This window comes from Homo sapiens, chromosome 15, assembly GCF_000001405.40.
Source record: "Homo sapiens chromosome 15, GRCh38.p14 Primary Assembly".
Lineage (NCBI taxonomy): Eukaryota > Metazoa > Chordata > Mammalia > Primates > Hominidae > Homo > Homo sapiens.
In genome coordinates this window covers 21,466,628-21,485,174 of record NC_000015.10, presented here as the reverse complement: position 1 = coordinate 21,485,174, position 18,547 = coordinate 21,466,628, and the positions used below count along the sequence as shown (strand labels likewise).

Sequence of the window (18,547 nt, the reverse complement as noted above, 5' to 3'; positions counted from 1 at the left end):
AAGTTTCAATAAAGAAATGTTAATAGAGAAGGTTAGCAAGAAAGGAAAAGATTAAGGAGTGCAGTTATGAATAGTTAGAATCTAGTAGCTAGTAAGCAGATGACACATCTGAAACTCTAATCACGTATTTGCAACAATAAGAAAGCTGTATGTAAAACAACTTCTGTTTGTGGTTGGTGGAATTAAAGGAAACAAGACAGAATAAGCGAACAACTGAAAATAAATACAAAAATGAGGTGATCAGAGTGAAGGCATTCTACAGTGTTTGCATTATTTTGTGGAGGGAGTTAAAATTAGCTTAATTTTAGCCTTTGTTAAATTGTAATGCAAAATGCAGTGTAAAATTTCAAGGAAAACAACTAAAAGAATAGTAAAGATTCCAAACCAATAGAGGTTTAATTTCCAAACCAATCAAAGGAAAAAAGATGGAATTGGTGGGTGAGGGTAGAAGGATTTAAATTATTCAAAAGAGACTGGGCAGAGTGGTTCACACCTGTATTCCCAGCAATTTGGGAGGCCAAGGCAGGTGGATCACCTGGGGTCAGGAGTTCAAGACCAGCCTGGCCAACATGGTGAAACTCCTTCTATTCTAAAAATACAAAGAAAAAAATTAGCTGGGCATGGTGGCTTACACCTGTTGTCCCAGCTACTCAGGAGGCAGAGGCACGAGAATCACTTGAATCCGGGAGGCAGAGGTTGCAGTAAGCCGAAATCATGCCGCTGCACTCCAGCCTGGGGAACAGAGTGAGACTGAGTCTCAATAAATAAATAAATAAATTCAAAAGAAAAGCAGGAAGAGAGAGGGAAAAAAACTAGATAAAATGGACAAGTAGAACACATAAAATAAAGTGAAAGGATAAGGATATAGAAGATTCGAATAGATTATTTCCCACTTTGATTTTAATGGACATATATAGTGATTAGAGAATATTATGCAGCCATTTAAATTGCATATGTAATAGTTACCACTTTACTTGGCATAAAGCCAGTTTTAATAAATTTCAAAGAATTAGTAACAAAAATAATTGAGAAAAACTTCCAGAAACTGGAAAAGGATAATGTGCTTTTGTTATAAAAGTTCATGTTATGTTGAAATGGATAAATGGAAAACAACAAAAACAAAAAGCATACCCAGAAACATGAAGGTCACATTTTATATCACCAGAATGATATAAACTGATTTGCTTCAAAGGAATGAGAGAGACTTTGATTTGATCAGGGTGGTGACATCAGAAGCAAAAAGAAGTGCAGAAATCAATAGTGGGTTCTCACAGAAAAGAACATTGGAAATAGAAATTTACAGTCAGCCAAACTATCACTGAAACCAACCTAAGACAGAATTTATTCAGAAGTATATACTACTGACTACCTGTAAACTCTGTGAGGGGAAAAAAAACCAAAAAAACAAAACTGGAGGATGCACTCCATAAAGAAGAGAAAATGAATTCAAAGAAATGCATTAAAAATACTAATCAGGCTGGGTGTGGTGGCTCACACCTGTAATCCCAGCACTTTGGGAGGCCGAGGTGGGTGGATCACCTGAGGTCAGGAGTTTGAGACCAGCGTGGCCAACATGGTGAAACTCTGTCTATACTAAAAATACAAAAATTAGCCAGGTGTGGTGGTGTGCACCTGCAATCCCAGCTACTCGGGAGACTGAGGCAGGAGAATCACTTGAACCGAGGAGGCAGAGGTTATAGTGAGCTGAGATTGTGCCACTGCACTCAAGCCTGGGCCACAGAGTGAGACTGTCTTAAAAAAATAATAATAATAATCAATAGTCGGCAAAAACAAAGAAGTAAAAATAATAGTAAAATTTGATTAAATCTGAATTGGTGCAAATATTTAAATAAATCAGCTACATGAGACATCTCAACTGTTATCAACATAGGGAGTAATATAGGGTGGAGCAGGTGAAGTTTGCTATTGTATTTTATTTTCTAAGTATGGATAGAATTTAGGAATATTAATAGTGTTTTGTACAGTTAAGCTAACAGCTAGTCAGTTACATTTGGATTTTCTACCTACACAGTCACCTCTTATGGAGGTAATGACAGTTGCTTTTTTGTTTTCATTGAATTATTTTGCTTTTATTCATTTTTAAAATTTCTCCTGTGTACTGGTAGGACTTGCAGTGAGCAGAGGGATGACTGAATAGAATGAGAAGCAGATTTGCCCTAAGCAGTTCCCAACTTGACTTTTCCCTTTAGCTTAGTGATTTTGGGGTCCAAAGATTTGTTTTCCTTTCACACAGCATTGTTTACATTAGCCAAGATTTAGAAGCAACATGTCAACAGATGAATGGATAAAGCAAATGTACATACACACCCCCAGGAGTACTTTTCACTTATAAAGAATAAGATCCTGTTATTTGCAACAACATGGATGGAACTGGAGATCATATGGTAAGACAAATAAGCCAGGCACATAAAGGCAAAATTTTTTCTTACAAGAACTTTGGCTATTCTGAGTCTTTCGTGGTTCTGTCTGCATTATAGGATTGTTTTTCCTGTTTCTGTGAAGAGTATCGATGTTTTGATAGGGTTGCATTAAGTCTGTAGATTGCATTGGTTAATATAGACACTAAAAATACTGATTCTTATTCATGAACATAAAATACATATTTTTGTCTTTTTAAATTTCTTGCATCAATGTTTTATAGTATTCATTGTAGAGATCTTTAACGTCTTTGGTTAATTCCTAGGTATTTAATTTTAATTTGAGGCTATCGTAAATGGGACCACTCTCTTGATTTCTTTTTCACATTGTTCACTGTTGGCATATAGAAATGCTGCTAACTTTTTAATCCTATATCTTGACTAAAATTGTGAGTTCTAATAGTGTTTTAGTGAATTAGGATTTTCCAAATATAAGACCACATCATCTGCAAACAAACATAATTTGACTTCTTCCTTTCCAATTTGCTTGCCCTTTATTTTTTCTCTTGCTAATTGCTCTAGCTGCCATGTGTTGAATAACAGTAGTGAAAGTGTGCATCTCTGTCATGTTGTCAATCTTAGAGGAAAAGCTTTTCATTTTTCCCCATTTAGTATCATACTATATGTGATATCTATATATCTATATATAACTTTTATATGCTGAGGTATGTTTCTTTTTTTATTATACTTTAAGTTTTAGGGTACATGTGCACAATGTGCAGGTTAGTTACATATGTATACATGTGGTATGCTGGTGTGCTGCACCCATTAACTCGTCATTTAGCATTAGGTATATCTCCTAAAGCTATCCCTCCCCCCTCCCCCCACCCCACAACAGTCCCCAGAGTGTGATGTTCCCCTTCCTGGGTCCATGTGTTCTCATTGTTCAACTCCCACCTATGAGTGAGAATATGTGGTGTTTGGTTTTTTGTTCTTGCGATAGTTTACTGAGAATGATGATTTCCAATTTCATCCATGTCCCTACAAAGGACATGAACTCATCATTTTTTATGGCTGCATAGTATTCCGTGGTGTATATGTGCCACATTTTCTTAATCCAGTCTATCATTGTTGGACATTTGGGTTGGTTCCAAGTCTTCGCTATTGTGAATAGTGCTGCAATAAACATACATGTGCATGTGTCTTTATAGCAGCATGATTTATAGTCCTTTGGGTATATACCCAGTAATGGGATGGCTGGGTCAAATGGTATTTCTAGTTCTAGATCCCTGAGGAATCGCCACACTGACTTCCACAATGGTTGAACTAGTTTACAGTCCCACCAACAGTATAAAAGTGTTCCTATTTCTCCACATCCTCTCCAGCACCTGTTGTTTCCTGACTTTTTAATGATTGCCATTCTAACTGGTGTGAGATGGTATCTCATTGTGGTTTTGATTTGCATTTCTCTGATGGCCAGTGATGGTGAGCATTTTTTCATGTGTTTTTTGGCTGCATGTATGTTTCTTCTATAGTTTTGAGGGTTTCTTTCATGAGGAGATATTAAATTTTGTCAAATGATTTTCAGGATCAATTAAAATGATCATGTGGTTTTTGTTCTTTCTTTTGTTGATATGGTATATTACATTAATTGATTTGCATATGTTGAAGTATCTTTGCATCCATGAGATAAATCCTACTTGATGATGAGGAATAATAAACTTTTAATCTGTTGCTGAATTTTACTTGCCAGTATTTTTATGAGAAATTTTGCATCTATTGCTGATATTGGCCTATAGATTTTTTTGATATGCATTTGTCTGATTTTAGTATGAGAGTAATGCTTGCCTTACAGAACGAGGTTGAAAGTATTTCCTCCTCCTCTGTTTTGAAATAGTTTAAGTGGGATTGCTATTAGTTTTATACATGTTTTGTCAAATTCAGTGAAACCATCAGATTTCAGGCTTTTCTTTGATGGGAGGCTTTGTATTATGGATCTCATCACGTCTTGTTTGTGTATTCAGGTTGTGGATTTCTTAATAATTCAATCTTCTTAGGTTCTATGTGTCTAGAAATTTATCCATTTGTTCTAGATTTTCCAATTTATGGCATCTATCTGCTCATAGTACTCACTAATGATCTTTTGAATTCCTGCAGTATAAGTTGTAGAGTTGAAATGTCTCCTTTTTCATCTTTGATATTATTTGAGTCTTTTCCTTTTATTCTTTTATTTATTTATTTATTTTTGAGATGGAGACTTGCTCTGTTGCCCAGGCTGGAGTGCAGTGGCTCGATCTCAGCTTACTGCAACCTCCGCCTCCTGACTTCAAGCAATTCTGCCTGCCTCAGCCTCCTGAGTAGGTGAGATTACAGGCGCCCACCACCATGCCTGGCTAATTTTTGTGTTTTTTAATAGAGACGGGGTTTTGCCATGTTGGCCAGGCTGATCTTGAACTCCTGACCTCAGGTGATCCAGCCGCCCGCCTCAGCCTCCTAAAGTCCTGGGATTACAGGCATGAGCCACTGCCTGCTGAGTTTTTTTTTTTTTTTTCTTAGTCTGAGTAAAGGTCTGTCAGGTTTCTTTTTTTTTTTCCAGAAAACAACTTTGCATTTTATTGACCTTTTGTATTTTATTTCAAATTCATTTATTTCTGCTTTGATCTTTATTATTTCTTTTCTTCTAATTTTGGTTTGGTTTGCTCTTGTTTTTCTAGCTCTCTAAGATACGTCATTAGGTTTTTTTTTTTTTAAAGTGTCAATTGTTTTGGAAATACAGGTGGTTTTTCATGACATGGATAAGTTCTTTAGTGTGTTTTCTGAGATTTCAGTGCACTTGTCACCTGAGCAGTGCACACTGTACTTAATATGTAGTTTTTTATCCCTCACCCGCCTCCCAGCCTTCCCCCTCAAGTCCCCAAAGTCTTTTACATTATTCTTATGCCTTTGCATCCTCATAGATTAGCTCCCACTTATATGTAAGAACATACGATATCTAGTTTTCCATTTCTGAGTTATTTCACTTAGAATAATGACCTTCGGCTCCATCCAAGTTGCTGCAAATGACATTATTTTGTTAAGTGTTCCCATTTCACCACATCCAATGCCAACATCTGTTGTTTTCTTGACTTTTTTTGGCCTACAAAAAATGGCCATTTTTGTAGGAGTTATTTGATATCTAACTGTGGTTTTCATTTGTATTTCCTTGATTATTGATGTTGAGCATTTTTAGGTTGTTATTAGCTGTTTGTATATCTTCTTTTGAAAAAATATATATTCATTTTCTTTGCCTACTTTTTGATGGAATTATTATTTTGCTAATTTCTTTGAGTTCCTTATAGATTCTGGATACTAGCTTTTTGTCAGATCTGTAGTTTGCAAATATATTCTGCTACTCTGTGGGTTGTCTGTGTACTCTGCTGCTTATTTCCTTTGCTGTGCAGAAGCTTTTTAGTTAAATTAGGTCCCATTTATTTATGTTTGTTTTTGTTGCATTTGCTTTTGGGGTCTTAGTCATGAATTCTTTGCCTAAATCAATGTCGAGAAGAGTTTTTTTTCTTATGTTATCATTTAGAATTCGTATGCTTTCAGGCCTTAGATTGAAATATTTGATCCATCTTGAATTGATTTTTGTATAAGGTCAGAGATGGGGATCCAGTTTTATTCCTCTGTGTGTGGCTTGCCAGTATTTCCTAGCACCATTTATTGAATAGGGTGTTCTTTCCCCAATTTGTGTCTTTATATGCCTTGTTGATGATTAGTTTAGTTGCCTGTGTTTGGCTTAATTTCTGGATTCTGTATTTTGCTTCATTGGTCTGTGTGTAAATTTTAATACCAATACCATGTTGTTTTGATAACTATAGCCTTGTAGTATAATTTGAAGTAGGGTAATGTGATGACCCCATATTTTTTATTTATTTGTTTGGTTAGTATTACTTTGGCTATGTAGGCACTTTTTTGATCCATATTAATTTTAGGGTTTTTTTTCTAGTTCTGTGAAGAATACTGGTGGTATTTTCATGGAAATTGCATTAAATCTGTCATGAAGTTGTTCATTTGAATTTTTTTATGTAGACACTTTTAGTTATAAACTTTTAGTACTGCTTTTACTGTAAATCCTAAGTATTTCCATTGTGACATATTACAGAAATATTTCAATTTATTTATTAATATCCCCATTGACCCACTGGCCTTTCAGGAGCATATTGTTTAAATTCTATGTGTTTGTATAGTTTCAAAAATTTGTCTTGTTATTGATTTCTAGGTTTTTTTATTGTAGTCACAAAAGATGCTTGATATTATTTTAATTTTTAAAATGTGTTAAGACTTGTTTTGTGACCTAACATATGGTCTATCCATGAGAATGATTCATGCACTGCAGAGCAAAATGTGTATTCTGAAGCCATTGGATAAAATGTTCTGTAAATATCCATTGTGTCCATTTGGTTTATAGTGCAGATTAGGCCTGAGATTTCTTTGTTGGTTTTCTGTCTGGAAGATTTATCCAATGCTGAAAGTGTGATGTTGCATTCTCCAGGTATTATTATATTGGAGCCTGTCTCTCTCTTTAGCTCTAATAATACTGGCTTAATATATCTGAGTACTTCAGTGTTGGATGCATATGTATGTAACATTCTTACATCCTCATGCTGAATTAAACTCATTATTATTATAGAGTGACCATCTTTGTCTCTTCTTCTAGTTTTGTCTTGAAATCTATTTTGTCTGACATAAGTGTAGCAACTACTGCTATTTTTGTTTGTTTTCTTTGACATGGAATTTTTTTAAATCTTTTTAATCTATGTGTTTATAGGTGAAGTGTGTTTCTTGTAGGCAACAAATCGCTGGGTCTTAATTTTTGTATCCATTTAGCCACTCTGTGTCTTTTGATTGGAGAATTTAGTCCATTTACATTCAGTGTTGTTATTGATTATATAAAGACTTACTCTTGCCATTTTGTTCTTTGTTTTCTGGTCTTGCTATCAGCAGCAAGAGGGAACCTGAAAGTAGGTAGCCATCTGTGAGGCTGAGTCTGGGATTTTTATGGGTTTAAAACAGGAGAATGCATGCTGATTGGTTCATGGGTGGGCTTGGAAAAGACACCATTCAATTGGTTAAAAGGCATCATTCTCAAAGAACCAATAGAGAGCAGGTTAGACAGGGATGGAAGTTCTCACTCTAGTCCATGAATTCTTTCTGGAACTGGTAGCTCAGTTTTCAGGCTTTTTAGACTGTTGTTTCCTTGAAGGTCGAGTTTCACCAGTGCACCCATCCCTGTCTGCCTAGGAGTTTGTCTTCTGTTGCTATCAGTAGGACTGCAGTGGGTCAGACCTGAAACCAGCACAGCACTTGATCACACCCATGGTGAGCTGTAACCCTACCTGGTACCACCAGTAATTGCTCAAGGTCTTGGAGCTTTATAATCTGTAGGTGGTAAGCCAGCCAGGTTTGTATCCTTTCCTTCAGAGTAGTGAGTTCCCTCAGGTTCTGGGCAAGCCCAGTGGTGCCATCCAGGAGCCAGGGGCTGGAGTCAATAACCTTAGGAGTCTACTTTGTGTTCTATTGTACTGTGGTAGAGCTAGCAATTAAACCATGAAATTCGGTTCTTCCCATTTTTCCCTCCTTACTCAACAGGCAGAGGGGCCTCATCCTATTGCTGCCATCACCACAGGCCCATCGGGAATACTGCCAGGCTTCCACCAATGTTCTCTTAAGGTTCAAGGCTCTTTAGTTCACTTATAGTGAATGATGCTTGGCCTGCTACTCATCCTTTTGGTCAGTGGTGTCCCTTCTGTCCCAGTACAGGTCCAGAAGTGCCATCCAAGTGCCAAGACCTGGAATAAGGGACCCCAAGAGCCCACTGGTGCTCTTCCTCTCTTTGGCCATGCTGGGACCTAAGTTGCAAGATGAAGTTCTCTAGTTTTTCCTCTACCTTTTTCAGTGTCTCCCTGTAGCCACCACAGTTGTGAATGTGCCGAGTCTCACCTGATTCTAGCAAGCCTCAGAGTCTCAATGAAAGCTCACAGCAAACTACCTGGTTATCACTGCAGGTTATTCCAGGCCAAGGGCCCTTTACTTAGCAGTTGATGGGTCTTGTTAGTACCGGATTTCTTCATTCAAGGCAGCAGATTTCCTTATAGTCCAGTATGTACCTAGAAATTTTAATTAGGAGCTAGTGGCTGAGAAGGATGTTTTATAACTCTGACTGGTGGCCTTGCTGGTATCCAAAATACAAGACAAAGTCCTGTTTACTCTTTCTGTCTTCTTAAGTAGATGGAAGTGGTCTCTTGAATCTGTGAGCTGTGCAGCCTCAGTTTGGAGGAGGGGTGGTATAAGAACTCTCTTAGCTGCCCCAGCTTGTATCTTAGTAGGTAATGTGGCCCCCAAGTCCACTGGCTCTAAGCCCAGTTCAGCATGACACCTGGGAGTTGCTGTCCTTGTGACCTAGACTGTTTTAAGTTTCTTTAGGGCCCCAGAGCATTTTAGACTATGGTGGTGAAGCTTGCCAGAACTCAAGTTCCAATCACTGGGAGGGTGATTCCCCTCTGTCCAGGGCCAGTTGAAACACACCCTCTGTGGGCAGGCATCAGCTGAGTTCATTCCAGTTTTGCTTTCTGCTATGATAGGGCAGCACTGAGTTCAATGCTCACAATCCCAGTGCTCTCCCTCTCCCAAGTGTACAGATTCTGTCTACATAGCATGTGACTACTGCCAGGGCATGAGTGAGGAGTGGCATTAGTGATTCAAGACTGTCTTTCCTACCCTGTTTTAGTGCCTCTTTGTGTACTGCAGGGTTAAAACCAGGTACTGTGAGTGCTCGCCTTTATTCTTATGAAGGTTTTTGTTTGCTTTTTAATAGATAGTTGTTATATTGGTGTCCTTCCAGGGGAAATGATCACTGGAGCCTTCTATCTAGCCATCTTGCTCTGTCCTCTGTTGGTTTTCTACTATGGCATTGTGCTCATGTTCTCAGCTTGGTAAAATTTCATATTGGATTTGTAAAGTATATTCAGCTAAATTCAGTATGTAGAATAATTAGTTATTTTTACTACTTTGAGCTATATATTCTTATTACAACCAAGGCATTTTACCAGAGCAAGGCATAGAAGAGTCATTCAAAAAAGCAACACTAGGAAAAGCAACACTGGGAAGATATGGGAGCTGTGGCCTTGAAAATTTATGCTTATGGAAAAACTGGGAAAGTATAGGTGAAGGACAAAAAGAATTATAATTTATGTAGCCAATATTTGACAACTTCTCATAACAAAAATTTAACTGTGAAAGGAGATGAAGAACATAGAATATTTCTGAAGAAGCCTCAGTTTCTGCCAGCTACTCCTACAGAACCATGTATTCCTGTGAGTAAATATCAACATCAATTTTTGGAATCTGTCTTTTGTAATAAAAATCAGATAAATTTTAGCCATGACTCAAATATTAGTAAACATCAGAATACTCATTTTCTAGAAAACTATTACAAATGTAATGAATGTGAGAAAGTGTTTTATCAATCCTCAAAGTATCCATATTCAAGAAAAGCCTTACAACCCTAATGAATGTGGTGAAACTTCTAACCCATCCTCAAAACTTACTCAACATCGAAGAACTTATATTGGAGAGAGCTCACAAAGATGTAATAAAAAATGTATAATAGTCTTTAGTCAGTCACATCTGAAGAGACATAAGATAATTAACACTGGAGAGAAATCAGTAAAATGTAAAGAACGTGGCAAAGCTTTTACCAGGGGCTTACAACTTGGACATCAGAAAATTCATACTGGAGAGAAACCTTACAAATGTGAAAAATGTGACAAAGCCTTTAAGAAGAGCTCACACCTTGCTCAACATCAGAGAATCCATACTGGAAAGAAACCTATCAAGTGTAAGGAATGTGGCAAAGCTTTTAACAGAGGCTCATACCTTACTTAACATCAGAGAATCCATACTGGAGAGAAAGCCTTCAAATGTAAAGAATGTGGCAAAGCCTTTAATAGAAGCTCATACATTACTCAGCATCAGAGAATTCACACTGGAGGGAAACCTTTCAAGTGTCAAAAAATGTGGCAAAGCTTTTAACAGAGCTTCACACCTTACTCAACATCAGAGAATACATACTGGAGAGAAACACTTCACACATAAAGAATGTGGCAAAGCCTTTAACAGGGGCTCACACCTTACTCGACATCAGAGAATCCACACTGGAGAGAAGTCTTTCAAATGTAAAGAATGCAGCAAAGCTTTTATCTAGGGCTCACACCTTACTCAACATCAGAGAATCTACACTGGAGAGAAATTCTTCAAATGTAAAGAATGTGGCAAAGCTTTTACCAGGAGCTCACACCTTTCTCAATATCAGAGAATTCATACTGGAAAGAAACCTTTCAAATGTGAAGAATGTGGCAAAGCTTTTAACAGACACTCAACCCATACTCAACATCAAATAATTCATACCAGATAGAAACTCTTCAAGTGTAAAGAATGTGCCAAAACCCTAAACTGGTGCTCACACCTTACTCAACAATTCTATCTTTTATACAATAAATTACGGTTAACTATAGTTGTCCTATTGTGTTACGAAACACTAGATCTTATTTCTTCTATTTTTCTTAATGTTTAATTAAAATATTATTTCAGGCTGGACATGGTGGCTGATGCCTGTAATCCCAGCACTTTGGGTCAGTGAGGGAGGATCACTTGAGCTCAGTACATTGAGGCTGCCTTCAGCTATGATTACGCCACAGCACTTGAGCTGAGGACAGAATGAGACCCTGTCTTTAGAAAAAAATAGGCTGGGTGTGGTGGCTCACACCTGTAATCCCAGCCCTTTGGGAGGCCTAGGCAGGAGAATCTCATGAGCGCAGGAGTTTGAGACAAGCCCATGCAACATAATGAGACCCCATCTATACACAAAATTTAAAAATTAGTTGGGCATGGTGGTGTGCAGCTGTGGTCCCAGATACTTGGTAGCCTGAGGTGGGAAGACTACTTGAGCCTAGGAGGTAGAATCTGCAGTAAGCCATGATCATGTTACTTCACTCCAGCCATGGTGATAGAATAAGATCTGTCTCAAAGAAACCAAAAAAAATAAAATATTTGCTTATTTTTTGAAAAAAATGCACAACATTGAGAAATATGGAAGTTATTTTAAAAGTTTTTTATTCTCTTCTAAATGCATTTTCTAAAATATACAAAAAATTAGTAAAAAAAAAAAAATGACATAACTGACCTCACATGCATTAAGTGAAATAAACCAGACACAAAACATAATACAGTGTATCATTCCATTTATACAAAATAGTAATCATACCACAATAATAAAGAGGTAATAAAAATGGACCAGGCATGGTGGCTCACACGTTTAATTCTAGCACTTTGGGAGGCTGAGGCAGGTGGATTGCCTGAGGTTAGGAGTTCGAGAGCAGCCTGGCCAACATGGTGAAACCATGTCTCTACTAAAAACAAAATTAGCCAGGTGCAGTGGTGGGCGCCTGTAATCCCAGGTACTCAGGAAGCTGAGTCAGGAGAATCTATTGAACCCGCGAGGCAGGCAGAGGTTGCAGTGAGCTGAGATCGCACCACTGCACTCAAGCCTGCATGACAGAGACTCCATCTCAAAAACGAAACCAAACCAAACAATAAAGGTGATAAAATGGAATGTCCATAAAAGGGAAATCAGTAATGATTGTCTAGTCCTGATAGTGGAAATATTTTAAAGTTATACCATGGCTATAGTTGCATAATTATAAATATACCAGAAACTTTGTATTGAGTATGATGTTATGCATATTTCATCATAACTTTTTTTAAAAAAATAAGCATGCCATAAAATAGCAAGGTGGTTAAATTGCTTGCTTGAAAACAATCTGAAAATGCAATCAATTTTTGCTCATTTCAAGGTTTTTGATTAGGTGTTTCTGAATTTGTCCGTTAGGTCTAGTTGGTATATTAAAGTCAGCAGTTCACATTGAGAATTTTCTACTTCTACCATTCTGCCATTTGTGCTTCATATATTGGGGTCTTTGTTAGGTACATGCATATTTAAAACTATTTTATCTTCTTGATAGATTTATAATTTTTTAACATAAAATTTCCTGTGTCAATTAATTATAGCAATGTTGTCTTAATGCCTATCTTGTCTAAGGGTAACCACCCCAGCTTATTTTGCTTACTATTTGTGTGGAATCTTTTTACCCATCCTTTCACTTTCAACCTATTTGTGAGCTTAGGACTAAAGAGATTCTCCTGTAGATAACATAAAGTTAGTTCATGTTTTTGTTTATTTTTAAACCATCTGCCAATCTTTGCATTGTAATTGTAGATGTTAATTTCTATTTAAACTATTTATAAGGAAGGGCACACTTCTGCCATTTTTCTAGTTGTTTTCTAAAGTCTTGTATATTTTTGTTAATTAACTCTTATATTACTGACATCTTTAATGTTCTAGTATTTTTCCAAAACAGTTTTGATTCTCTTCTCATTTCCTCTTTCACTTCTTTCTTTAGTTGTATTTTTAGTGGCTACCTTAAGGATGACAATTAATCTCATCACTGTGTAACTGTACTTTAAATTAATACCGCTCGTAATTCAGTTTTATTTTAAAAGCTGTTTCAATAGAGATCTGCTCCTCCAATGTTATGTTGTTTTGTCACATATTACATCTTTATGCATTGTATGACATTAACAAAAATTTATAATTATTTTATGCATTAGTATTTTAAATTACATGTAAAAAAGAACAATAGATAAAAGTTACAAAATATTCTTTAATAGTGGCATTTATATTTTGCCATGTACTCATTTTTACTGGCATTCTTCATTTTTTCATATGGCCTTGCATTATTACCTAGTTTGTCATTTCATTTCAACCCAAAAGATAACCTTTGTCATTTAATGCATACCAGGTCTACTAGTGACAAGCTGTTAAATTTGTTTTAATCTATATAGCTCTTAGTGTCTTCAAAGGTCTTCAAGGATGTCCTTCATCTTTGAAGAGCAGTTTTGCTGAAAATAGAGTTCTTTGTTGGCTTTTTTTTTTCTTTCTACACTTTAAATATATTGTCCTATCATATTCTGGACTCCGTAGTTTTTAGTGAGAAATTATATTCTGGACTCTAGTTTTTAGTGAGTTGTTAATGTCAGTGTAGATGCATTGCAAATAGTAGTCTTTTCTCCATAACTTTCTTCAAAGTTGTCTCTTTAGCTTTTGAAAGTTTTATTGTAATTTGTCTTGGTGTAGAGTTCTTTGAGTTTATACTATGAATTCAATGAGATTTTGGAATGTGTAGATTCACGTATTTCATCATGCTTGGGAACTTTTTAGCCATTATTTCTTCAGATGTTCTTTCTGCCCCATTTTATCTTTCTCCCTTCTTTCGGGAGTTTTCATAATGCTTGTAATGGCACATTTTATAGTATCCCATTGTTATCTTAGGCTCTGTTCATCTTTATTCATTATTTTTTATTTCTGCTAGTTGGGATAATACGAATTGAAGTGACCTCAAGCTTGCTGGTTGTGTCTTTCGTCTACTTAAATCTTTTGTTGAACCTTTGTGGTGAATTTTTTATTTTAGTTATCTTAATTTTCAACTTTAGAGTTTGGCTTCAGTTTATAATCTCTATCTCTATTAATATTTTCTATTTGATGAGACACTATTCTTCTGAAATGTTTTTCCTTTTGATGTTATTTATCTTTGCAGCACATTTAAGACAGGTAATTTAAAGACTTTTTCTAGATTTTTCAATGCCTACGATTCCTCTAGGACTGTTTCTGTTAATATCTGTTATCTTATTAGTGGGCCATTATTTTTTCATTAATTTATTTGCACGCTTTGTATTTCATTGCTGTTGCTGAAAACTAGACTTTTTCTATTACAACAACCCTGAAATAATATTCTCTCTCATCCCGTTGGGTTTTTTTGTTGCTTATTGTAAATTTTACTTGTTTGTTTGGTGAGTTTTCAAAATTATTTTTAAAATATCATCCTTTTGTCGTGTTTAGCAATAAAAATCTCTGCTTTATTAGCTTCATGTGAGCTAGCTATTTGACAGAGATTTTCTCAAATGCCTGCTCACATCAAATATAAATCTACTAGTTCTTGCAGTTGGGTTTACTTAGCCAGAAAGATTACAACTTTGCTGTTTTCTTTTCTTCCTGCTTGTGCAGGGCTTGGAGGTAAAGCAGACATGAGAGATAACAGCTTCGTAGGTCTTTGTGAGCATTTGCCTGTCCCTTGATTGACCCTGAACATGCTTATGGGCTTCTGGATTCTCAGGAATATGTGGATAATTTTCAAAGCCCGAATCCCCCAGGCACCTCACTCCTCAGTCTTTTCTCTTAGATATTCTACATGACTTTTGCTTGCCGCACTGATATTCTTTCTCCAAGGTGTGATGAGTAGTTAATTAGCCCTTAACTATTTTTGCCAAACATTAGGTTATTAATTTAGAATTGTTTATTTTTAATGTAGGTGTTTACTGCTGTGAATTTCTCTCAGTAGTTTGCTGCATCTCATGTTTTGATGTTTTTTTGAGACAAGTTCACACTCTGACACCCAGGAATGAGTGCAGTGGTTTGATCAGGGGTCTCAGAAGCCTTGACCGTGTAGGCTCAAGTGAACTTGCTGCCTCAGCCTCACAAGTAGCCAGAGCTACAGGCAGGTGGTACAATGCCTGGCTAATTTTTGAAATTTTTTTGTGAAGATGGGTTCTCATTATGTTGCCCAGGCAGGTCTCAAACTCTTGGGCTCAGTCCTCCCACTGCTGCCTCCTAAAATGCTTAAATTACAGGCATAAGTCACAGCACTCAGCCTTTATAAAACCTTTGATATTTTTTCTTTTATTCTGTTTTCCCATGTTTGTAACATGTTGTCCCAAATTATACAATAGTTCTATGGTAGTTGTGGCACATTTGTGACATAAAATAGAGAAAACATAAGTTACATTTAAATTTGGGGTAAACAACAAATAACTTTTTAGTATAGCTATGCAATGTTTTTATATCTGTGTATAATATGTGTAAGCAATTACTGGAGTATATACAAATAACAATTCATCATTTACCTGAAATTCAAATATAACCAAGTGTGTTACATTTGTCAACCCTTGTTCATGGGAGCCACTGTTCTTTTCTCCAGACTCAGCATTAATGACCTGAAAACCTTCATTAGAGAAAAATAAAGTTTGATAATTAGCAGATACATTCTTTTGCGGTATGTAGTAGTCATTAGAGAGGGTGTGGCATGAATTAAAGTGTGTGATCTGGATACCTTATGGGGAGAAAAAAATAGAATTCTTACGTATGTTGTTTTATCTAATTGTATTACCTCTTTCTGTGATATAACTTTTAATACACACAGTATATTTAGTAAAAGTGATTTCTACATAAGTAGTAAGTAGTTATTTGTATATTAATTGTCCATGTTTATTTTCTGGAACTAGACTGCAGTATTTAATATATGGAGATTATTATGGCTTTAATCTGATACTATCCTGGAGCTTCTTTTAGGTTTAACATGACAAAAGAACCATATCATGTTGATGGCATCAGTATATTTTGGTGGCAACTATCCATTGTTTGGTTCTGGACATTGAGATAAATGTGTACTTATACTAGATTATGTGTTAGGAGAAAAAATAAAAACTGATATATAAACTATGCAATTTCCTTTTTGTAAACTCATCCATATCAGGTGGTTTAAAATTGGTTAGCAGTTTTCTAACTCAGATGTTAATTTCTGAGTATGAGGTAAAAAATACTGTCAAATCATCTTCATTGCCTTGCACATTTATATTTGTGGTTTGTGCATTAGTACCATCACAACTCACTGGCTCACTATAGCCTCAAGATCCTATGCTCAAGTGATCCTTCCATGTCAGCTTCCCATGTAACTGGGACCACAGGTACGTGCCACCATGCCTAGCTAATTTCTTTCTTATTTTTGATAGACACAGGGTGTCACTGTGTTGCTCAAGCTAATTTCAAACTGTTTATCTGAAGCAATGTCCCTGCCTCAGCCTCTCAAAGCGGTGGAATTATAGGCATGAGCCAGAGCTCTATTATTCTAAGCTGCGGGCTGAATTAGTTGGATACAATAGTGATGACTGTATTCAGGGCAAAGAAGAAAGTAATTGCAGAATTATTCAATAAAATTTTATGAAGGGTTCTCATACAGAGATATCATGATTAAGAGATGGAGAATTATCTTTACTATTAGTGACCTTGGTGTTTTTCCAAGGCTTGGAAAGGCATCTTTCCATGGAAGGGTATCTCTGTATAAAGTGAAGCATCAAGAAAATTATCACTTAATGCAAATTCATGGATCCCATAAAGTAGAAAAAGGTAGTCCATGTACTTGTAGCATTGAAAACTGGATTTTAGCAATTTCCTCCTGAGATGAAATAAAGCTTTCATGAGATTTCTCTGGGATAAAAACAAAACTTGAACAGAGCCAGAATTATTTTAAGGGATTCGTTTAATAGGACTTGTGGTAAGTGGAATAATGCCATGCAAAGGTCCCCATGTCTAACCACCAGGTTCTAGGCATGTATTATGGTATATGAGAAATGGGAATTCAGGCTGCAGATGAAATCAAGGTTGATAACCAGCTGACTCTAAAACAAAAACATTAACTTGAATTACAGATTTGGGCCTAATGTAATTATAAGCATTCTTAAAAGTGAAAGAAATAATAAGAGAAACTGAGTGCTGTGATGTGAGTCAGTTAAACTTTTTTTTCAACTTTTTCTTTAGGTGATTATTTTCCCTTAACATAAAATTTACTTTAGCTCAACTATACAAACATGTGAGTTATTGTTATGTAACCATCACTCTTCATTAAGAAATGCTTTGTAAAAAGTGAGCCAGTTTTTCATATACATTCTTCAAAATACATTCTCAACATTATACATCAAATTATATATACATACATGCACACATACACTATATATATCAAGGATTTATATGAGAGGATTAATTAAGAAAAAAATTAGTGGAATAAAAATAATGTTTATGATAATTTTGGCCATAGAATATATAATACAGATGATGTGAAGTACAAAATGTTTTTTATACTTCATATTTTGATGTACAAAGTATGTTTGTCTTTGTAATTCAGATGATTACTTTGCACTTGTGTTCCCATGAAAAATGCCTTTCATTTCTAAGCTGGTATTGGCATCTCAGCCAACACTTTTCTCCTTCTTTTCTGCGTCTTCTCCTTTTCTGCTTTTTCTGGATCTCAGGCCAGAGCGCACTTACCTACCAGTCTGTCATGTGGCCCTCATCCACATGGTGGTCCTTCTCACCATGGTGTTCTTGTCTCCACAGCTCTTTGAATCACTGAATTTTCAGAATGACTTCAAATATGAGGCATCTTTCTACCTGAGGAGGGTGATCAGGGTCCTCTCCATTTGTACCACCTGCCTCCTGGGCATGCTGCAGGTCGTCAACATCAGCCCCAGCATTTCCTGGTTGGTGAGGTTTAAATGGAAATCCACAATTTTTACCTTCCATTTGTTCTCATGGTCTCTCAGTTTTCCTGTTAGTAGTAGCCTGATCTTTTACACTGTGGCTTCTTCCAATGTGACCCAGATCAATTTGCATGTCAGTAAATACTGTTCACTTTTCCCAATAAACTCCATAATCAGAGGACTGTTTTTCACTCTGTCATTATTCAGAGATGTTTTTCTTAAACAAATAATGCTGTTCTCAAGTGTCTACATGATGACTCTCATTCAGGAACTACAGGAGATCCTGGTACCTTCACAGCCCCAGCCTCTACCTAAGGATCTTTGCAGAGGCAAGAGCCATCAGCACATCCTGCTGCCGGTGAGTTTCTCGGTGGGCATGTACAAGATGGACTTCATCATCTCAACCTCCTCAACGTTGCCATGGGCATATGACCGTGGTGTCTAGAGGCTAGTGGGCAGTGTCTATACCATTGTCAGGTTTTTGGTGCTACTGAGATCTGATAAAAGGGTAATCAATGTGATGTAAACTATAAGACAAATGTTTAAAAGGTTAATTGTATGAATCCTGTCATGAGTTAAATTATTCAGAGTGTTCATTATAGAGAATAATCCAAAGTTAAAATAATTGGATAATTTATTTGTATGTAGGATAAAAGTAGTAGGAGATTGCTTCTTGAAGATTTAAAATTATATTGAGTGTAATT

The 18,547-nt window shown here is 36.3% G+C and overlaps 1 long non-coding RNA gene across 1 annotated transcript in view; it reads left to right on the top strand.

Annotated features, from left to right (window-relative positions):
• The window catches only part of LOC105369227 (uncharacterized), a 31,295-nt gene extending 13,106 nt beyond the window's left edge, over positions 1-18,189 (top strand). The window contains exons 6-7 of the long non-coding RNA XR_007064502.1: positions 17,701-17,843; positions 18,112-18,189. This is a non-coding gene — a long non-coding RNA (uncharacterized LOC105369227). The remainder of the gene's footprint in view (positions 1-17,700; positions 17,844-18,111) is intronic.
• Positions 18,190-18,547: the final 358 nt, after the last annotated feature.